The sequence below is a fragment of the Homo sapiens genome, chromosome 3 (genome assembly GCF_000001405.40).
Source record: "Homo sapiens chromosome 3, GRCh38.p14 Primary Assembly".
Classification (NCBI taxonomy): domain Eukaryota; kingdom Metazoa; phylum Chordata; class Mammalia; order Primates; family Hominidae; genus Homo; species Homo sapiens.
Genome location: NC_000003.12, coordinates 117734854 through 117758753, shown reverse-complemented (window position 1 = coordinate 117758753; position 23900 = coordinate 117734854). Strand labels below are relative to the sequence as shown.

Sequence of the window (23900 nt, the reverse complement as noted above, 5' to 3'; positions counted from 1 at the left end):
ACGCCAGCCTTGTCATACTGATTTATCAATTATACATTGTCTTCAGCTTACTCTTTACTGTGTTCAATCTGATTTCCTAACCTCCTATGTACAGAGTTTGTTTTTCTGCCACGTCTTTATTATCCTGGATTTATTCTATTCCTGGAAATGTTAAAACCTCTAAACTCCTATGGGAAGATGCAGAACCAGAGAGATTTGTACAATTAACTGACACAGTTTAGAATATTTTAAAAGGCTTGACAATATTCGTGTCATCATGCCATTGATGTTTACTTTATTGCATGTTGGGATGTACATTAAACATTGTAGCAGCTTAATACTGTGGAAAGATTAAGATCAGAAGACCTGAGTCTCTGCCTTCGGGTCCTGCTACAAATTGGTTGGGTGACATTCATTGGCCAACTCACTTCCTTTCTCTGAACTTTAATTTCCTCATATGAAAAAACTATGGGGCTGGACTTTTAGGAATTCAAGTCATTCTTTGAATTTTGAAGTTTAAAATATATAGAATTTTGATGGATTAGAGAAAATAAAAGAGAAAGAGAGAAAGAGGAAGGAAGGAAAAGGAAGGAAGGAAAGAAGGAAGGAAGGAAAGAAGGAAGGAAGGAAAGGAAGGAAGGAAGGAAAAGGAAGGAAGGAAAGAAGGAAGGAAGGAAAGAAGGAAGGAAGGCAAGGAAGGAAGGAAGGAAGGAAGAGAGGGAGGGAGGGAGGGGGGGAGGGAACTCTAAGCCACTAACATAAATTGACCATCTTTTTACTTTTTCCTTACTTAACCAAAATGGCAGTATAGTTATAATAGACTGTGTGGACTGAATCTAAAAGTAAGTTTTATGTGGATGTGTATACAATTGTGGTTGTGTATTGTATACCATTCAAGGTCATACTGCTAGTTCTGCCCCATCATTAAATATCAGTGAAACTGTCAGAAATGTCCTATTTTGCACATTAGTTTAATGGCATATATTAAATCCGTTATACATTAAGCACCATGGACTAAAAAATGATTAAGACAAAATACATATCTTTGGGGAGCACACAATCTAGAGAGAGGGATAGGCATGTAAAGAGACACACAGTGCCTGATAAGTGCAGTGCTAGAGTGGGATTTGAGTGTCATGGCAGTAGCAAGTGAGATGTGCCACTTATCTATGGATGTTGAAGTCAGGAAAAGCTAGCCAGAAGAGGTAGCATGTGAGTAAGAATACACTAGGCCTTTAATTTGGTTGAACCTGACTCACACCTTCTCTTTGAAATCTCCTATTTATTTCGTCCCTCTTCCCTCAGTATGCTTTCCACTCAGTGATGGATGATGAAGTGGTGGAATAGATGTTAGTTGCTTTTCTTCTTTTTTTCCCCACTGCTATGAAGATCCCTCACCACCTTTTGTTGTACAAAGATGACACCACCTGAAGCATCCAGTCTCCGGATATCGCCAATAAGTTTTATTAATACAATTTATATTAAATCTGTTTTAGAATGTCTTGTTATGAGGTCTTTGATTCATATTTTACTGTCACTTGTTCATGAATCAAAAACCGTTGTTTTTTTTTTAAGTCTATCCTAAGCAGAATCTATCCTAACAATTTAGAATGTTTCAACAGACTTGTCCATATCGTATAGCAATATAGGGAGGCATGCCATACTTTAAGGTAGGGGGAAGAAGGTCAAGACTAACTTATAATATCTATGAAGCTGGCTCTCCTCAGAGAAGACAAATCTATAAATACTACCAAACATTTTGCAGTCGATGTTAAGAGTTTCCCAAACTTCCTGATGCTTACTATTGATCTTAGTTTACCAGATACAATCCTTTAAGGAAAAGAGAGACACTCATGGAAGTCAACTTTCCCAGGCTTATTAGAGAATGAAGAGTGTCCCTGTGGCTACCACATTCTTTCTTCCCCACACCCTTGTCTCTGCCCTTAGGCAGTCTGCTGTCCCTCAGCCTAGCCATCTGCTCTTAGCAGTGAGGGAGCAGCGTGGTAGCCATAAATCCTGGCAGACGTTGCAGTCTGGCAGTGTGAATGACAGCATGCAGTATGGAATCTTTGGCAAAGGATAAAGCTGTGGCTACAAATCCAAATACTGTAAACCAAATGATGGAGTAGAATGAAGTGCCTGGCTTTTTCTTTAACCGCCAGGTGATATTTCCAGAAGGAGCAATGCATCTTTGTCAGTGACTGTTAGATACTGATGTGTCGTGGTTATCTTAGAAAAGTAAGTGTAGGAGATCTCACTTCTTTCAGCCCTTTCCAGCATTTCTCATACTTCCTCCAGGATAGCTTGAGGCTTAACTTAAAGATACATTTATACAGCCTTGCAAAAATATCTGGGTTCTTTTGGTGTGTGTGTGTTGTGGGGGGCGTATAATTGATCATCCCCAAAATCATTTTAAGCAACACATTCAGTTCCATTTTTTTGAGTCCCAACTATATGTATGCAAAGACAGAAGAAAAAGACAATTACTTTTAGATCACTTTTTTTTTGGTCAACTTAGTAACTAGATAAAAGTGAACAGTCTGAAAATGTACCAAGCTTTTTCTGTTTAGGCTTTTTCTACAATTTAAGGCTTTATCTAGTGCCATGAGTGGTCAGGCATTGCAGGTATGAGTACATGCTCCAGGAATCATCAAGTTTATTGGTGAGTGGCAGAATTTGAGCTGAAGAGGAAGGATGGGACCAGACCTTAAGTGATGTAAATGCTATATATTTAAAATGTATTTTGAAGACTACCAAGAGTCAACCATGGTATAGCAAAGTCACATTTGTTCTTAGTACGATATATACCATATAAGAAGTTTAAGTTTCAGTCAATACGTCAAAAGTCCTTTGTTGTTCTGTAATGGAAGATCCCATGTAAGTGGCGAATGATAACCAAAATTAGATACTTACAGTCAAGCCTCCAGACTGCTTAAGATGTAGAATAGGCAGATGACAAAGGGCTGTGGATGCGCAGAATGTATTGTGCTCTTTAGACTCCCAGAGGACATTCCCCCTCTTAACTTTTCACCAGGTGGTCTTTTTGCTCAGCTTGCCCCAATATAAGTGTAGTTTTTGTCTGATTATATGTTAAATAGTAAAGCATATGGATGAGAGTTGTTTCCTGTGTTTTCTGTGTATGTAGGTGCTAAAGGCTGTATGTGGTAGACATTGGATATCTATCTATCTGTCTATCTATCTTTCTATCTATGTATACAAAATTCAAAATATCCAGATGAAATTTCAAATGTATTTTAAACCAGGTGAATGATTGAAAATATCATTGTATTTTGGCACTTCATAAGTAACCTCTTTATAATATTTTATTTTTATTTTATATTTTGTACCACCCCCAGCAAAACAATACATATATATCCTAAATCCAGATTATTTTATAGTTGTGTTTAAAGTTTAATTATATTTTAGATATAATTAATTTTATCAATTTATATACAATTAAATTTTAATTATATATTAATTTGGTATTCTTTAGATATTTTTTCCAGTCTATTGAAAATTTTTCAGACTTTTCTAGTGATAATAATTGTATAAAGCAGTAATTCCTTCATTAAATAAAGTTATTGCAAGACCCAAATCTTTTAACTTCAGTCACTCATAGTAACTATCAAAGGCATTTTAGATACCGTTCTAGGAGCTTTAAAATTATAGCTTTACTTCAGCCATGATACTAAGGGCAAATACCAGCCACAGACATTGATATCAATGGATTAAGCAACGTGAGTCCTAGGGCTTGGACTTTGGAACTGTGTCCAGGTTGAGTACTCCCAAACTTTGGTTTCCTGATCTTATAAAATGGAAATAATAACATGTGTTGCTTCTTGAGGAATCAAATCAGTAAGATCATGCAATACAAGAAGAATGAAAAATATTAAGGTATTTTCAAGCTTAAGCAAATTTACTAATAAAGAATAGTAATATAAATATATGCAATATTATAATGTGGATATTTATTGTATATATATATATATATATATATATATATATATATATATATATAAAAATCAAGGGAGTTAGTTAATGCTTTTTCATCTCTCTTTGATCTACTTAACCAATGAGCAATATTAGTCTATATTTTAAAAGCAGTTCCCTAAAGGAGAGTTCATGGAAGTGCCAAAGAATAATTACAATTACATGCATACACCAAGTTATTAGAGTAATAACATTTTGAAATATATATAGCCTCAGACATTAAATTTACTATAGTATTTATTTTTATTATTAATTGCAGGTACTGCATTATTTTCATTAAGGAAGCCAAGAGGCAAACAAGTTTTCAATGTTGAGGTGCAAATGATTTAACAAATTCCTGAAGGAGATTGACATGTTAATGATGTGTCAGTGAGCCACAATAATAATGTTGCCTTGCCTCAAAAACTATATTCTCTGCATTTCTGAAGCACTTTACACTTGCTTCAAGTCTAGCTGTGACCAAAATGTTTCCTAAAAGAATGTTTATAGTTCTCTCACATGCCCATTACATCATAAGGACTTTGAGAGCGGTTGCATTTGTTTAGCCACTGGCACATGATGGGCAAGTTATTGACTTACAGATCTGTATTTATATAACATTCTTTACTTTTTGCAGTGTGCATTCGTACATAAAATCTCATTCCATTGTTTTCAACAACTTTCTAGGTAACTATTTCCTCAGTTAGGTGACTTGCCCAAGGGATCTCTTCCAGTAACTGGTAAAACCATAACTTCTGATTCCTAGTCTAGTGTAGTCATCACTGATGAATTTTGCCTGTATGAATCTTTGCTGCCTGAATTTTTGAGTTCTGACTGAAAGGCATCCCTGCAGGGTGAGGACAGGTAGTTTTCTATCTCAATGTTCCTTTTCAACGTTGGCACTCAACCCCCACCCTTTTCTGCTCATCACATTAGGGCCAGAATTGCTGAAATGTGAAATGAAATCTACGGCAATTTATTACCGTTTATGAGAGACTCTGTGACATGGCTGAGCCGACTTGCCTTCTACTATCCTGTGGAAGAGATCTGAAAGGATTGGCAAATAGATTAATTTAAGGCCGCTTTTGCTGACACTGGTTACCTCTAAATGGATAATCATTTATCAGTAAATTACTTTTTCTGAGCCAGGTAATTTCTGATCAACATGTTCATTCTCCTTCTCTCTCTCCATTCCCTCCATTCCTCTTTCCCCCACCCACTCCTCTTTTGTTTTTTCTTTCGTTTTTCTCTTTCTCTTCCTCACAGACTCACACACATGCATACTCACTTGCTGCCTTTTGCTTTCACTCTCTCATTCTCACCGACACACATATACGTACACACATGCACAACACCTCAATATACCTGCCTTCCAAAGTAAGCATTAGTTGAGACATCTATATATTAATAAAAATTTCATTTCTATTTTCTGAGCCACAGTCAAAATGTAAATGGCCTCAAGATAGAAGTTATAATGTACATTATAAGGAGGGGATGGGTACTAAGTAAAGAGAAACAAGAGGTAGTGCTGTTGCAGTAATCTAAACCAGGTTAGAATTTCATTAGCACTGCAGCATTTTGCAGACCATGACAAACTGGTGAAACTTGATCTTGGATGTCATCATCAAACAGTATGCTTTATAAGTGCCTTTCTGCCCACATAATGATGAACAACTCTGTTAAGCCTACACCCCCTTGTACACTGAGAGTTTGTCTGCTCTGGGAAGGAAAAGATAGGAAAGAATCTCAAGGCTTTTTCAAGTCTGAAATGAAATGCTAAGCTACACATTTAGAAAGGCTGGAGAAAGAGAAGAGATAAAAATTTAGCTGGAATAGTATGTTATAGAATTTAAGTGAAATTATAACTTTGGAATTTTGTTAACTCATGGATGGCAGAAACTAATGCCAACTTGGAGTTGAGTTTCCTCTCAGCTTCAATTTGTTGTGATACAACTCGTCTCTTGGACTTTTTTGATAGATAGGAATGACATTTCTAGGACAAAACAATCTTGTCCCTGTAGTATGCCATCATAGGCATAATGTCTTCCATTGTCGATAACTAATTACCATTCGTCTTGTTATCTCCTTTCTTTTTTATATTGTATATTAAGAAAGTAAAACTCTCCCCTGAATTAAACTTGTTGGTTAAAACAGTCTTACGTGTTGCTGAGCTTTGGGAGAAAGAGGGTGCTGATTTGATTCACCAGGGTCAGGCTCAATGTGCTTAGAGAGCTGTCTTAGAATTTTGGCAGTTTGGCTGCAGAGAGGGCCCTGATGCTATTCCTCGAATGGCTGAGATTTGGAAGTGCTGATCTGAACAAGGAGAAGAAAAGGGCTGTTAGTAACTTTCGTTTTATCTCCTTGAGCACTTGAAATACATTTGCATTTGGGCTATCAGTGTGTACCTATTAAAGGCCTACTTAGGCCCCAACATTTTACTGGTCATTTAGGTTACCAGTGAGGGGAAAAAAAATAACTCCAGCACTGTAGAAATTCTTGTTCCTCAGTACATGTGTGCTACTCTGTTTTATTAATGAATGCAGCATATGCTGGTACTAAAGTGCAGATTCCTTATGGGAAAGGTCTATGCACAACCCTAGCATCTAACACAATACCTCACACTCCCAATAAGTATGTTCCCAAGGAAAGACTGCGTGACTTATTTAATAACTAAAAGCAGGTTATATGCTAAGTAGGTGTTGTGCTCAGTTTTTAGTTTGTGAGAACCCTAAAGAACAGAGTGATACACACACTCTAAGAACTGGGTTATCATTGGAGATAGACTGTTGCGGGGGAAAGAAGCAAAGTGGGAATCAAATCCCACATGAAAGCATCACTGTAGAGGCCTTCCTCATGAGACAAATGGAGCTTTTGTTGATGTTTCCCACAGAAACACACATGCTTCAAGGCAACTGGCAGTCACTCAATGTGGTCAGTGTTCAATTTTACGTCCTCAGCTATCCCCTTTTCCTCCACTGCAGGCATCTGTGCTGAGTATATTCCTTAACACTCTCCCCATAGGCCTGCCTATTCTCTCTTTTTTCCCCATCAATATCCTTTCTAATACCCACTGTCAGAGCCACTAAAAACTGCGAGGTTTGTTTCTTGACAAATGTCCCATTTTCACAGGCAGTTGAACCGAACTGCAGCTTGTGCTCCGTTCAAACATGTCAATAAACATTATTGCAAAGACGTAGAAGCAATAATGGGAATGTATAAAACTCACCTTTATTGCTTCTTGCCATGAATTTACACGCTGCTCTAAGCAGCTTTCACTCCCTCAAGAAGCTGTAGGAAATCTGTTTTGGGTTGTGGGGGCAAAGATACTGATTTGTTTGCAATCTTCTCTGGATCCTAGAAGCAGAAGGTGGCAATGCCTATCAACTTATTGAATATATGCTCATTCTTTCATACCATAATGGTCTTTTATAAATAATGCTAGTTGTCACAGGTAAGAAGAGGATCTTGAAGAGTGGAACATCCCATGTCACAGAGCAGCAACACTCACAAGAAAGGATCCCAAGCATGGTGATATGCTAAACCTAGGTTTCTATGTCTGTAAATCTGCTGTACTGAAGGTAACGTTGTATGGACTGAATGTAAAACAAAGAGACTGGTTATGGCGGTGGGAGAGAGACTTCACTCTAATGTATTCCACTCTCAAACTGAAGACTTAGGGCCTGTAGCTCTTTGGTGTCTTCAAATGAGTTATGAGATAGATATTAGAATGCAAAGTGATTCTTTGTGGATAGTGTCAGGGTGAGGATTGCTATATCCCTGAGGGTGGGACATGTCAGGGATTAGTGTGTCCTGAGGTGAAATGTTTCAGAAGCGTTTCTGAGTAGGGTTATGACCCCATAGCAATAGGTTCCACAGACAAGAAACATTCCCTGCAAATAGACCAACCTGCATTTGTATAGATTTAATTCTGCAGGTGATTAAGTTAAGCCAAAGAAGCACTCTGAGAATCAGTGTCAGAGTCTCCCCTAATCCTTCCTAATCCTGTGTGTGTGTGTTCCATTATATTATGCTGTATTGTTTAGATGTCCTTTGCTGCAGGGACTTTCAGATATTTTAGGGCTAAGGCCTATTCTATGATTGCCACTTCCGTTTTAGTTTCTCTTTTCTACTTTCCAGAGCCAATAAGAGCATTTGGAATCATATCAGTCTCACATATCAGCTCCTATTATATCAAATGATCTTTGGAATTTTGCAATAAAAATGAATCAAAAGACATATGTTTTGTATACCATGAATGGCCACAGTTGACTTTGTGGTGGAAAATAATACAGCCTTAAAAAAAATTTAAAGAAGAAAAGCATTACCAGAATAATCTCTATCCTTTCTGATAATGTGACAGTACCAACTGGGTAAAAAGGATAATAGAAGAAAAAAATGTATATTAACTTTTTTGATAATTTTGATTCTGTATGACATACTCTCCAATGACATTTCAACATTCATTCAATCAATCAATATTTACTGAGCCTGTTATGTGCCAAACACTATGTTAGATACTAGGCTGTTTTAAGAAATTAGTTAGAATGGGGAATACCCTTTTCTCTTTCCTCACTCTAATTCATTAATTAGTTATTTTTAATCACAGTGAACAAACATTCAGAAATGAGAGGCAGAATTCAATCACAAGTGTATTTTTAACAAAGTGCCCTTTATTCTCTATTCAAGATAAGATTAAATAATAATCTGATTATTTCTGCACTGGTTTCTCAACTTTCTGACTATAGAGTTTCTTTAGTTTCAAAAGTCCAAGCAATATAGAACCTTTACTCAAATCCCAAGAGGAATGGACAGAAACAGGTCTGTCTATATCAAGCTCTGTAGACACAAACTTGCTGGCTGCTCCAACAGTCATGGTGGCCCAAATCCTACTTTTCTAAACTAGATTGTTTTTACTGACCACAGACAATGGGAATTTTCTTTGAGTCATTCAAAGCATGGATGGGAGGACTGCCTGTATTCTCTAATAAGAATATTTCAAAATAGCAGGCTGGCACAGAGGTCGATAGAACAGACATCATCTTTCCTTTATTCCCCAGAAGGGGATAGGCATTGATCTGGCAACTGCTATTAGTGCTATGATGGAGAAGCACTAAGGGGGTAGTGAGCAGATAGAAAATATTGCAGTATACAGGGAGATCAGGGAAATGGCCTTTAAGTAGAACTTAAAAGTATGAGCAGGAGGTAGTCAATAGAAGGAGAAGCTTTGGGCAGATATTCCAGAGAGAAATGCCCAGAGAGAAGAAATCATGGCATATTTGAGGAACAATATGAAGATGAATATGGCCAGAGCAGACATGTGTAGGGCTCAAGCATGAGGGAGGTATGAGAACACTCTTAACTCTGGGTAGATAGCTGGATCCAGATCATGGAAAGCCTAATCAGAAAAAAATTTTTTAAAGAATATTGACTTAATGTTTTAGAGATGAAAGTCATGAAAGAGTTTAAGCAGGATACTGTCTTAAAATAAAATGCGTGTATGTAAATACATCATATATATTTCACTTTTTCATAGCAGGTGCCCATATTATTTCCTTCAATTAATTACTTTCAGAGTCCTTTTACTTCTTCACTCATGTTCATTCAACCACATCAACATCCGTCCACTCCCCAATATTCTCAGTAGCCAAAGCTACACTGTGCAATTTTGACTCTTGCAAGTCAGTACAAAAGAAAAGACAAGTCCTGGGGCTTCCTGATACTGTCACCTCAAATTTTGTGCTGGACAGCCCAATAGTCAAGCAATTATTGTCATTATTATTTGCTCGGGTGCTGGGTAAACAGTCAGACACTTTCTAAGATAGAGCTGGGATGAGTTGGTATTAGAAATAAAGTCGGAACAAAAGCAGGGCCCTGCCTGGTCCTAGAATAAGAGATTAGTTGTGACACAGTTTTGGGAAATCACAAGGATGGGATAGAGAATAATAGTATTTTAGTATGCATGATTGCTATGATTTGGCTGTGTCCCCACCCAAATCTCACCTTGAACTGTAATAATCCCCACATGTCAAGGGCAGGGCCAGGTGGAGATAACTGAATCATGGGGGAAGTTCCCCCATACTGTTCTCGTGGTAGTGAATAAGTCTCATGAGATCTGATGGTTTTATAAATGGGAGTTCCCCCTTCACAAGCTCTCTTACCTGCTGCCATGTAAAACTTGCCTTTGCTTCTCCTTTGCTTTCTTCCATGATTGTGAGGCTTCCCTAGCCATGTGGAACTGTGAATCCATTAAACATCTTTCCTTTATAAATTACTCAGTCTCAGGTATGTCTTTATTGGCAGCATGAGAACAGACTAATACAATAATATTAGTAATGGAAAGTATTCAAATGAATCTTTAAATAAATCTTTTAGAAACTCAGTATCCTGCCTCATGGTTTGTAGTTTGTTGTTAGTACCATCATGAAGCAAACCCAACAGTAATTCGTGTTACCTAAGTCCTCAGAGATGTCAGCACAGAACTTAAGAATGCTAAGAATGCTATCCTGAAGCTCTGTCTCTTAAATAATGGTTTTGATAGCTCATAAGAGCTAAGTAGTGTGGAGGATAAAAGATGAAAAGTGTGATCAAATGTCTTTGGTGTTCTAGATTGCAAGCTTCTCAACTCCTCACAGTCCATTTCTGTTTTCACTGTGGCACTTCCCTTTCTGTTCTTGATATCTGAAATTTGTCCATATGACTGTTGCCCTACCAGATAATGTTTAAATAGTGGTTGGTCTGATTCATGGTAGCTTATCTATCTAATCAAGGGACATAAACGAGATTATAATACACTGATCCACTAATTTTGCACGGCGTTAGGACAGCCTTCACTGGTTTGGATCAATTGAATGTTAAGATTTCATAAACAATGTTCCCACATGGGTATCCATTTGTAAATTTGGCCACATTGTATTGCATTTTTATTCTAGAGTTTCCCTAGGTTCCTCAGAGAATTGCTCTGCCAAAGACCTATACAGCCTCTAGCTCTAATGTTCTGGCAATATTGACAGATGAAGCAGAGGGGACATAGACAGGCACTGAATACAAAAATAATTTCTTCTCCAGCTACAATCTTGAATGAAACACAATTTATGCATCATATGAACAGAGTATTTTGTACAGGAAAGAGAGAGAAAAAGAGGATGAGAAAAAAAGAGGAAAAGAGGAAAGAAAGGCAGAGGGGAGACGAGAAGAGGTTGCCTTGGGAGAATTATAGGAGATACTTCCTCTAGTGGCTGTAGGAGTGAGATTGTTGTTACTCTAGAGAGTTCTTCCTTAGGTTATCACGTATAACTGTATTCATCAAGAGTAGTTTCAGCTTTGCTGTGAGTATTCTAAGGATAATCATCTTATCATGAGTATTTCTTACATTATCACGAATTTAAAGGAAAAGGTGACCTCTGTCCTGATAGCATTTGGCCTCAAAAGGGCAAATGGACATTTGAAACTATAATATGCCCAGATAATGGGAAACAATTTTACTTTTGCAACTACTGTTTTGCTTATGCTTAGTTTTAGTTTTAGGTTTCCTGGTAAAGAAGTTTGAGTGGAGAATTTGAAAGGAACTGTATCTTGTGCCTATGGCACAGATAGCTTTCATTCAATAAATGGACCAAATTGGAATAACCACAACCCAGAGCTGCTTGTGCTCATGGAAGTCATACAAGTTCTGGCAAAGGATATTCTGGCTGCAGGTGATGGAGAGTAGTCCAGGCTTTCATTTCATTTTATTTTACTTTTTTGAGGCGGAGTCTCTTCTGTCACCCAGGCTGGAGTACAGTGGTGCGATCTTGGCTCACTGCAACCTCCACCTCCTGGGTTCAAGTAATTCTCCTGCCTCAGCTTCCCTTGTAGCTGGGATTACTGGTGTGAACCACCACACATGGCTAATTTTTTTGTATTTTTAGTAGAGATGGGGTTTCACCATGTTGGCCAGGCTGATCTGGAACTCCTGACCTCAGGTGATCCACCTGCCTCAGCTTCCCAAAATGCTAGGACTACAGGCATGAGCCAATGCGCCTGGCCTAGTTCAGGCTTTCAGACACAGTATGTGAGAGCATAGACTGGAAAGCAGATGGAGAAGTATGCATGGATGAAGACAAAACCAGCATTTTCTTAGATGTTTATCCAACCAGGAAATGCAGAGTGGGATAGTGGCAATAAGGATGACTATCAGCATTTGGATCACCTCCAGTCTCAGGTCAGGGCTCCAGTCTCAGGAATTTGGTTTGGAGAGGGAGACTTGCAGTTTCTGGGTGATGAGAAAGAACGAACTATCAACAGCAAGGCAGAGTTTTAATATAAGGTGGTATAGTTAGTGCAGAACTAGAGTTTAAACCTCAACTTCTGCCTCCTCATTCAGTGCTCTTCCAGTTTTTCAGGCTGTGCTTGGATATTGGGCTGCAGGATGCCAGTGGAGTACGTTGGCACTCAATGTAGTAGCTTAGCTGTTCCCTCTGTGCATCCTACATGCCTGCTGCCATGATCCTTGCCCTGCCACACTTGGCAGTTTGCGTGCAGCTCTCACACTGCCAGAAGCCTCCTAGTTGGTAGGAAGCTGATATTTCCTCAGAGACCATTCTGCTCACTTGGCACAGCTCAAATCACATCTCTTGGCTTCTGTCCTCTGCTCTCCTGTTCTACCCAAATGCATTGCCCTTGCCAGTTGGTGAGCTTCAGTTAAACCCATGCCGCAGATATTGCCCATCTCATGTTCCCCTGGATGTACTGATTCTGCCTTTGGATCCACTGTGACTACCCCATTGACTGGCTTGCCTTGCTGCCAGTGGGCTGGCCTGCCCTGATTTAGATGTTTTCCATTGAGCCATCCCCCATTTGACTGGCAATTTATTGTCTGTGTTAGTGGCACATTCCTTCCAAGGGGGCTTCTGCCACCGTGGCCTCCATCTTCGACTTCCACTGGCTTTTTCATGGCTTTCACCATTGACTTGGCGGGACTTACCCTTAGCAATCAATTGCTTCCATATTGTGGCTGGCCTTCTCTCATACTGGCCGCCTCCTGCTAACTGCTGCTTCGTCTGACTCTGATGCCCACATCTCTCACCTGTGATGTGTTCTTCAAAACACATTAACTTCCATTTGACTGACTCACGGCTGCTGAGAATGTTTCACAGTATTACCTGGAATGTTTCTTATGTATGATGGTAATTGTTAAATATCTGATTCTCACCATTATCAGATATTAGCAGACAATATTTCTCTCCCCAGAAATACTATATTCATCATTTTACTCATGACTAAGAAACCAGTTAACATCTATTGAACACCTACTAATTGCCAAATTCTGATCTCTCTTTACTGTACAGTTTGTTATTTATGAGAGACTCTTGGGGACTCACGGCTTTTTCATCTCAGGAAAATCTTGAAAAAAATCCAGTCCATCTCTTTTACTTTAGACATGGAAACGCCACAATTATTTCAGACAAATGAGTATTGAATTTCTAAAACCCTCAGGAAGAAGCTCTAGGAAACCCATTCTGGTATTTAATAGCATTTTCTGTTGGTAATATGTCAAAACCAAGGTAATATCTTATGTCTCTCCCACCCTGCACATACAAAGTCTGTAGCCTTTCTGCCATCAGTGGCCATAAGTCACAGTTTATATTTTCTTTAAAATGTCTCTTCAAAACAACTGCTAAGTGCTGACATGTTATTTTTTATTTTATCATGACTACATGGTTCAAATTTTGTTAACCTTTTTTTCCCTTTAAAGATTTGTTTGATTTGTTATCTAACTTGTAATTAAGACCGTGGCTTTGTGTACATGTGAGGCACAAGCCTGCAGCAGACTCAGAGTGCCTAATTAATAAAAACAAAACAAAACAAAATGAAAATGAACCAACCAGCAAAAAAAATGTAGGGACTGTCAATTTGGAAGTCTAGTATTAGCGTTATTTGAGGTTGCTCCCTGGAATCATGCTACACCTGTGCTTAAATATCAGTGGTTTTTTTAATAAACCTTCTAACATCCAAAGTCCTCCCCACAGCCATGAAGCTCTGCATGATGGGACCCTTCCTCCCTGGCAAATCTAGCTCTTCCTCTTATTCATTCTGCTCCAGGTTTACTGGGAGGCCTATAGGTCCTCAAAGATCTTTGCTGCTGCCTCTACCTGAAATTCTTTTCATCTCTCTTCACAGGCTGACTCTGCTATCTTTTAAGGTTTTGGCTTAAGTGTTATCTTCTCATAGGAGCCAACATGACTACCCCATATCTTGTTTTCTTTGTTGCACTGTCCAATCCCCGTCTGCTTCCCTTTACGGCATCTTCAAATTGGTCATTGAATGTTTGTTTGTTATATATGTGTTGTCTCTTGCCTTACCCGATCATGAGCTCCATTAGAGCAGAAACATTTATTATATAGCCTAGTATTAGGTCCATAGTAGGCATTTAATAAATACTTACTGAATAAATCGTAAACAGAATAATTAATCTATTGGCTGTGAAAGAAGGAAACCCTGTGAGTTCCTGGCATTTCTTTGATATTGGAACAGTGCTATAGAAGAATCTGCTCCTAAATTTGCAGTCTATCTTTCCCAGCCATGCAGAAAAGTAGAGAAGCTAGAAGCCAAGTCTAGACTGCCAAGATTTGAAACAGCAAGCTTGTCCTGGAGACTATCATCACTTCACATGCTTAAGGCTGCAGTTAATTTAGAGCTAGTTAAGCTGACATCTTGTTTCCAGTACAAGAACAGGATAGAAAGACTCAAACAAAATAAGATAAAAGAAGGTAAAGGGAAATGATTTAAAAATTAACTTGATAGGCTTGATACTCAGTTATCTGCCCTTTTCTTTCTTTGTATCTTCCTTTGCAGGACTCATTCATTCTTATGTCACCAAATACCTTCTTACTATTTCATTTCAAAACTGTACTTCTAATTCCGTTTGTTCTTACTGTCTGCAGGTACAGGTGTGCAGAGTCTTGCTAAACATTACCATCTTGGCATTCTTCTGTTGCTGTAAATGTAACAGATCTGAAACTAGTGCAGTAACTTTACTTATTCAATAGTATTTATTGAATCCCTGTAATGTGCCAGACACTATTCTGTTCACTCATGGTACAATGACCAGCAAGTACCCATTCTAGCAGAGAGTATTGATGATAAACAAATTATCATAAAATAAATGTGCAGTTACTAGTTACCATAAATGCTACTAAAACGTAATGTGCTATGAGAAGGTGTGACAGGGATCTGTAATTTAGTTTGGGAAGTTATGGAATTCTTCTGTGGGGAAATGAGATCTGAAAGTGAGAGGTGAAGCCAGCTGGACCTCCTGGGTGGAGTGGAGACTTGGAGAACTTTTCTGTCTTACAAGAGGATTGTAAAACACACCAACTAGCACTCTGTAGGTAGGATTGTAAAACGCTCCAATTAGCACTCTGTGGCTAGCAAGGGGATTGTAAAATGCACCCAGCACTCTGTAAAATGGACCAATCAGCAGGATCCTAAAAGTAGCCAGTTGCAGGGAGGATTGAAAAAAGGACACTCTGATAGGACAAAAACGGAACATGGGAGGTGACAAATAAGGGAATAAAAGTTGGCCACCCTAGCCAGCAGCAGCAACCCACTCGGGTCCCCTTCCACGCTATGGAAGCTTTGTTCTTTCACTCTTCACAATAAATCTTGCTGCTGCTCACTCTTTGGGTCCGTGCCATCTTTAACTGTAACACTTACCGCGAAGGTCCGTGGCTCCATTCTTGAAGTTAGCGAGACCACGAACCCACCAGAAGGAACCAACTCTGGACACAAAAGATGACTAAAATTTGGTGAGAGAGAGGAGAAAACATATATTAGGCAGGAGGAAAGTATGTGTGAATACTTAAAACGTGGAAGAGGTTGTCGTATTTAAAAAAATAAAAAGTATTCTGGATTGTGATGAGAGAGGCGTAAGTGGTAACATAGGCAGTGTCCCCTAGATATTTTGCTTTCCCAACCTTGACATTGCAATTCTCTTTTTTATTTATGATTTGTTCATCTATTTAGTCTCCTATAGCCAGTCACCAAGGCCAAGCAATTCTTCCTTCTTTTTGTACTTGTGTATTGTTCCTAGCATTACTCTAATGAATAAACAGATAGATTCTGTATATTTAGTCTCTTTTTAAAAAGATCAAATATAGGACATTTTTATTACAAAAATGAATACTATTTTGAAAATACACAAACAATGCACGTTCATTGTAGCACAACCAGAAAGTACAAATATGAAAAAAAATTACTTCCTCTCTCCCTCTCTCTCTGCCCACTCCAAAAGTTTTGTGCACATCATTCCATTATATCTGCAGGACACACACACACACACACATGCACACACACACACACACACACACACAGAATTATACAGTTTTGTAAACTGCTTTTTTCTACACTTAAAGTTTGTATTAGATAAGCTAAATAGAATTCCTAGAACAACTCATACAGTTATGATTCTTTTTCTCAACATTTTTATGAAAATTTCCAACATACTAAAAAGCTTTAAAAAACTGTACAGTGAACACCATATGCTCATCACCTTAATTCTATAATTAGCATTTTGCAAAATGTTAAATTACTTTATCGTCTCTTTATCTAGCCATATTTTTATTCACGCATCAATTTCTGATACATTTTCCTACATATTTTCAGATAAGTCTCAATGTTTTTACTGAGTAATAGATGTGCTTTATGTATCCTTGTTACCAGTCCTTTGTCAGTTATATGCTATGTGAGTATTTTCTCCCAGTCTATGGCTTGCTTATTCATTTTCTTAATGATGTGTTGGTAAATATACTTTCTAATTTTGATGAAGTCTAATGTATCATGTTATTTTTCTTTGTAATTATTGCTTTCTCCATCCAGTTTTTTAAAAACTTTGTCTTCCTTCAATTATACAATTTTATATTAGCCTCATTTTACATTTCATCTTGTTGGTTTCAGCCCAGTATTCCAACCTGTATAAATTATTTTGAGTCAAATTCCTATCTTACGCTATATTAGATATTGTTTTCAGCTTTGTATCACCTGCAAATTTACAAGTCATTGGATGTTGAATGGAGAAGAACCTTTTTTCAAGTGTAATTAGAACCAAGTTTGCATTTTACCATCTTAATTTTCAAGACATCATAAGATGCAAAGTTAAATTATCTGCAAAATCACTGGCACAGGGGACTGGTAGTAGCAGTGTTCTCTTTTACTACTTGAGAGCCTGATTTCTGAGGTTTGATATTCTTTTATTGACTTACCTATTGACACCTGGTGTTTATTGTCTTTTTTCCTGAATAGAGTTTATTCCTCTCTAAATTGTCTGTTACCCCACTGTAGTGTGAGGTCCATTGGAGTGGACATCTTGTATCATAGTCACCACCACGTATCCAGCAACATAGGGACACATTAATGAATATTTGTCAACTAGATTAATAAGCAAATGTCTAAAAATCTTCTATTTAATATTTTTTCTAGATTTTTTTCTATAAATTACCTATCTTCTTGGCCTGAAATTTAGGAAATTTACCACTTTATCTTTTTGACATCTGGGATGTTTTCCTGGCTCTCATATTTTGTTAACCAACTGTTCTGTTCTCCATTACCTTTCCAAATATACTGACACAAATATTAGATTATGTGAACAAGTCTCTTTAGAACCTGGGATGTAATTTGTCTAACAATGAAGACTTGAATATATTGAACCCAATCTGAACAGTCTCTATGTTAGGTACTAAATATACATGTTCTAAAATGTTTCTGTACACAATTACTTCACAACTTAATAGCATGTAAGTTGATACCTAATGATTTGAAATAGTTTCCTTATGTCCTTCCATATTAATAAAGAACAACCCATTAACAATTGAGACCTGAGCAGAGACACACATCAGTCATGTTTTCACTTACTATCTGGCCTGCTCTACTATCTCTCATCCCTCTGTAAGAGATGCATTTAAATGGAAAGGATCACTAAAAATAAAAATATTTAAATAAAAATATTTTAGTGCATGTTAATCTGTAAGTAAACTGGCGGATGTGTCATCTAGAAATCCAGCTCAAAGTTAGACACTTTAGATGATAATAAGATGAAGGCTTAGCTCCATTCTTGAATGAAGAATTGCTGTAGGAATAATATCTACAAAATTAATAGCTAATGTGAAGTTATTAGGTCCTAAATACTAGTAAAAAAATTGTGAAATTCTTGAAAAAGAGAAGGCAGCCTTAATTGATAGAGGTATAGAAAATTCATGATGAATATTAGTTTGCTATAGAAAAAGAATGAGGCATTCCAGGTTGGAGAAAGGGCAGAGTGAAGGTGCTTGGGCAGGAATGTGCTTGGAAAATGAGCAGACTAACCAGAGATAAGTTGGTCTTCTCAGGGACCCTTGGGAAATGTGACTGCAGGATTTCAATAAGGCCCTAAAGTGCAAGAATGAGAGTTTTGGACTTGAGTCTGAAAGACGAGAATAAAATGCTATAAATGCTTGTTCAGGAGAGTGACTTAATAAAATAAAAATGTTTGAAGTATGTCAGTGCTATTTAAGGTAGGTAATGTGGAAGTGATACATAGAAGAGGCAGCTATAAAATTAACGCAAGTAAAGATAATTAAATAAAGAAAGTGGCAAAAGGCATAGGACATTAAAAAGAAAGAGAAAGAAATGATATCCAATTACCCTAATTTGATCATTGTATGTCATATACATGTATCAAAATAAAATATGTACCCCCAAAATATATACAACTATTATATATCAATAAAAAATAGATAACTTAAATATTGGGTTGAGGTGGATAAAAGCATCACAGGTTTTTTTTCTTAAATTTCAAGTCCAGTGGACTTGGAAAAGCTTCTTCATTTGCTGGAATGGGCTGATCTTGGGAAACAAGTTGAAGTGGTTATGGATATAAATACAATTGAGGTGAAGATATCAAGGAAGAGCTATCCAGTAGGTTTTGGAGGACTTGTGGAAAGCCAGTGCTGGAGAGAAAGATTTGGAGGTAATTTGCTTAAGAAGAAAATATGATCAAAGAAAAAAAATATGAGCCCTGTCATAGAGAACAATAAATGGGTGCAGAGCAGTCAGTGGTTTTACCCCAGAGGAAGGTCACGTTGAAGCAAGAAAAACTGTAATTACTGAGATTAAGATAGAAATAGTAATTCATGAACCGAGAGAACAAAGTTAATGCAGTAATGCATAAACCGAAGGAGGAAGATGGTCAAAATATGTGGCAGAACATTTAAGGAGGATGAGGGAGCCGCTGGATGTGATAAGAAGCTAATCGTGTCCTTTTTATAAGTAAGGAAGCTGACGTACCCAGGCAAAGCTAATCCAGCCTCACTCCTAGGATTATATACAAGAAGCATGTAAGTGAGTTGTTCCCAAATACAATGGTGATAATCTTTTTCACAAGTCAATGTCAAAATGAGAAATATAAGGATAGTGCATTTATATAAAGCAGTGTAAGACATGCTCTGTCCTGCACACCTTTCTAAATTACTACAATCCTTCCATTATTATGACATTAGGGAGATCATAGATGATGACTGGCATATATTTAGTTGAAAAAATAAATGATAGCCACTGTTTTACTAGCGTGAGGTCTGGTAATAATGATCTGATAATATATTTGCTTTCCTTGGGCTTGTTCTCTAGAACATGAAGTGGGATATTTTTGCATAGGGTCTTCTTTCTGTGTTCACCAACTACTGGCAGTCAGAAGGTAGGATAAATAAAAATTTATTCCACTTGAGTTGTTGAAAGATACTCATATTAACACAAAATCACCATATCCTGACAATGTTAAAGCCCAGCTGCAGGTTCAGAGCCCTGTCTGTCACTTATCTTAAGCTTCTAGGGAGAATAAAGATCAAGTATCTCTGAAGCAGTGTTTAGTGTCATAGCTATTTCTGAAGAGACAGGTTTTTTTCCCCCACTAAATCCCTTGCACAGTATTATCATCTGAGTCTCCATCGGGTGATTTTCTTGAGGTTCTTGGCTGTTTAAGTACAGGCAGATTGGCTGTGGCGAAGAGTAAAAATTTTTTTAGAGACATAAGAAATAGCTCCTTGTTATAGATCCCTTCACCTCTTTTGAGGATTGACCCTTTGCAAGCCATTTTCTGTGTCTTTTAAATAATAACTTTAGTAATAACAGTACCAAAAATAGATCACACTCTTGTTGTTTTGTTTTACCCTCATGCCATACTCTATGCAATTATTTTACATAGATAAAATTATTTTCTGTTTTCCAATAACCTTATAAGTTGAATTTTATACTTATTACAGTTTAACATAAGAATTTTGAACCCCAGAGGGGTTAAATAACTTTTCAGCATGGCTAGTAAATTCCTACACAAGGATTTAAACCAAGAGTCTGGCTCCAAATCCATTGTTATTCAACCTTACAATTCACTGCCTCGTGGAAAAAAAAAATGTATATGAAAAACATTAGCTTACCTAAGTCAATATGCTCGTATTCCAACTGTGCTATCATATTCAAAATATTTCTAGAACTCTCTTTTCAGAATCTTCTCTAGCCATGTTTATTTTAAATATGTTCAGGGATGGTAAAACTTTGTTTTAGAGAATAAAGTAAACATTTGGAAGTGATCAGTATCAAAGTCAAAAACACTATAAATGGACAAAAAGGCAATTCTTAGCAGGGTGTCCTAAAAATGTATTTGACCATGGAATGTATTATTTGAAATAAATATATGTACTTCATAAAGTGACTGACTTGGAAAGGAGGGGACTCATTGAATGTTTTGCCCGTAAGAAAATCAGTCACACTGGTTGTGGTCATAGTATTGAATCCCTCTCAACTTTATCTTAATAAAGACCCTTCTGTTCTCGTGGTGAAAGCCAAATAGTAGACCTTTCCTTCCTTGTAGTGCTTCAATGCAAGCAAGATTCAAACTCTTGGCTACGCTTTCTGATGCCCTCACTATGTTGATGGGAAACCTGAATTGGTACAAAAGTAATTCATATGAAGGAAAACTAAACAGTAAGCACAATTTTCTCTAGTCTGTTTGCTAATGATGTATAATCCTGGCTTGATAAAGTTAGAGCTACTCATTTTGATTGCAGTAACTAGAGGTCGAGTAACTATATCATTTAACCTCCCAGTTTCTTTTCTCTCGGTCATTGAATAAGAAATAAATTAAGTTCTATGTGATTTCAGAGGAAATCATAACAGTTGGTGTGAATTTCCCCTTGCACGTGACAAAACATAAACTCGTCAACATCCTGGAAGGCAGATAAATGGGCAGTTCTTTCCATTCTGCCTACTGAGGTTCAGAAAGGTGAACTGACACTTTCAAAGGCACACTGTAGATACACTGTTTACAGCAGGAAACAGAAGCCAGCACTTCAGTTACTATTCAGCAATATATGAAATTGGACATCTTTTAAATCAAAGGATGGACTCTATGTAGGGTAACTATGTTACCAACATTTTTAGTAGGTACTATATGGCCCCATCATAAAATGTGTATCACTTGTTACTTGGCAATGGAAAAGGAGAATCAACCACATGTTCTCAGGAAAGGGGCCTCTAAGCATAAGGTCTCAACCAGTTATTGTCAGGTTAATTCAAAATTAATGATGGAAAATTGGGAGGACAGTTAAACCTTCAATTCTGAGAGAACAGGACTGACTTGTTTCTTGACCCAAATAATGAATCATTTCTCACCCTCACCTGTGATGCAAACTACTCATTTACTAGTGGTTCCTTTCCCCTCTCAGTATTCCATCTGCATAGTAACACCAGCTGACACATAGGAAAGGAAGAGAAAGAGAACAAGTTGGCAGGGAGTCAATATATTTCGTTGTTTTATTATTACGGAACTCTAGTAGCATTTAGTTGGTGAGTCTGAACAGAAAATGAGTATTTCGAAACTGACTCTGTTATCAGGGGAAATGATTAAAGGCACAACAACAACAACAAAAATCCATGGATTAATTAGCAGGTCAATGGTAGTTGAGTAGCTATTACTAAATTACATGGCCTGCATGCAAAAGAGAGAATAAATCTGAAGATCTTCCCAGCTTGGGTGACTTGTGAGTTAGAATTCTAGGTCTGTGCGAAGAGATTTCCATTGATTCGTTGATGGGTAATGAGATCAGAAAAGATAGTACCTGGATTTCCTTCAATTCTACCCATTCAAGACTTAATCTTGTTTTCTGCCAGTGATATATCCTTCTTGCTATAGTTACTGACAGTGAGATTTGAAGACTTGATTAATAATAAAGAAAGAAAGCAGGGCTAACCACACCATAAGAAAGGAGAAAAATCAGGATCAGCAAAATAAGACAAGTGTTTGGTGCCAGCAGTGATAAACAAATTCTAAAAGAGGGAAAGGGCAAGTAATGATCTATTCCTTGGAAGAGATACAAGTTTTGAAAAGAAGCGAATCAACGGATGCACCAAGGAGCCCACTGTTTCATTAACCCTTTAGCAAATGTTTATGGACACACATGTACATACACACACATATGTATACAAATATATACCATATATGTATGCCATACATATGTATTATGTACCTTTTATATATCATTTATATATACATGTACTTTATATACTTATATATGTATACTGTGTGTGTGTGTGTGTGTGTGTGTGTGTGTGTGTGTGTGTAAATTCTAGACAGGAGGCAGAAATAACAAAATACAAAGGTAAATTATCTGCTAGGTTAGTAACTGAAAAGTGCTAGGGATAAAAGTAAAAGTAGAGCCATTTAAGGGAACAGGAGTTCAAATGAGTCACAGGGGTCATGTTTCAGTATTTAATAGTGTCAGGATAAGCCTCTTTGAGAAGTTGACATTTCAGCAGAGACTTGAAAGAGGAAAGGGAGTAGAGAAGACTTGTCTAATCAGAGGTAATAGCTAATGCAAAAGTCCTGTATTGGTGTGTGGTCAAGGAGTTTGGCATAGAGGAAGGATGCCAGTGTGACTGGACTAGAATGGGCAAAATGGGGAGGAGGTAGTAGGAAATGAGGTCAGAGAGGTAACAGGCATTAGGTCATATAGATCTGGTTGGTCTCTATAAAGATCCAGTTTGGAGGGTTGAGTTGTGATTTTGGGTTTCTCTCCTCAACTGGTGCAAAAGAAGCAAGTCATTTATGACAGCAACGATAGAGATAGTATTGCAGTAACATAATATGTGAGATTACTCAGAAGGAAAGAATTATCCTTGAGGCATCACACATAAATGCAATGAAAAGCAAACAATGAGGAGAGACATTTATGCATAGAGGAGAATGTTATTCTAGGAACTGGGAGCCAACTCGATTGTGCTAATGTGCATAATAATCAAACTGTCAGAGTGCTTTCCTTTAGGTCTGCGTCTAGGCAGGCACTGCTTAGAACATTTTATCTCATTTCCAAACGACTTTTAAGCCCATTAAAATGTTGTTTTCATTTCAATTAATAATTCAGCCAATAATACAATTATGAAATACAACTTTTGCTGATCGCTATTTCCAGAAGGCAGATTGGATGAACCTAGGAAGTGGAACAGGAAATATAGGGGAATTTTACTGGATAGCACTCAATATGGTATAAGCAGATGTCAGTATGGTCTGAAGATGTCAATAAACAAGCATGTTGCATAATCTCCATTCCCATTTTTACTGAAAGGAAACAAGTTTAGAATAATGAATTGTTCCTATTGGAGCTGTTCTTTGGACCCTTTTAGAAGCCTAAAGCTGGAGCAAGTTGATGGAAGGGAGCCATCTTTAGGACTTCTTTTGCTTGAGTTTGTACTACTCCACAGAACTTCCATTCTTCGCAAAAGTTTGAGCAAGAAACCAAAGCCTCTTCTCACTGTGAGGGCCAGGGGTGTGTGTGTGTGTGTGTGTGTGTGTGTGTGTGTGTGCTGGCAAGTTTATTTCACTTAGGTAAAACATTATCCTAGTGAATATTTCTGAGCTGTATACATTCATTCCAGAGATATATGTGGTGTTGCTT

The 23900-nt window shown here is 37.5% G+C and overlaps 1 long non-coding RNA gene across 1 annotated transcript in view; it reads right to left on the bottom strand.

Annotated features, from left to right (window-relative positions):
* Window positions 1-23900, bottom strand: part of LOC101926953 (uncharacterized) — a 74452-nt gene that overhangs the window by 35631 nt on the left and 14921 nt on the right. The window contains exon 3 of the long non-coding RNA NR_188507.1: window positions 15643-15724. This is a non-coding gene — a long non-coding RNA (uncharacterized LOC101926953). The remainder of the gene's footprint in view (window positions 1-15642; window positions 15725-23900) is intronic.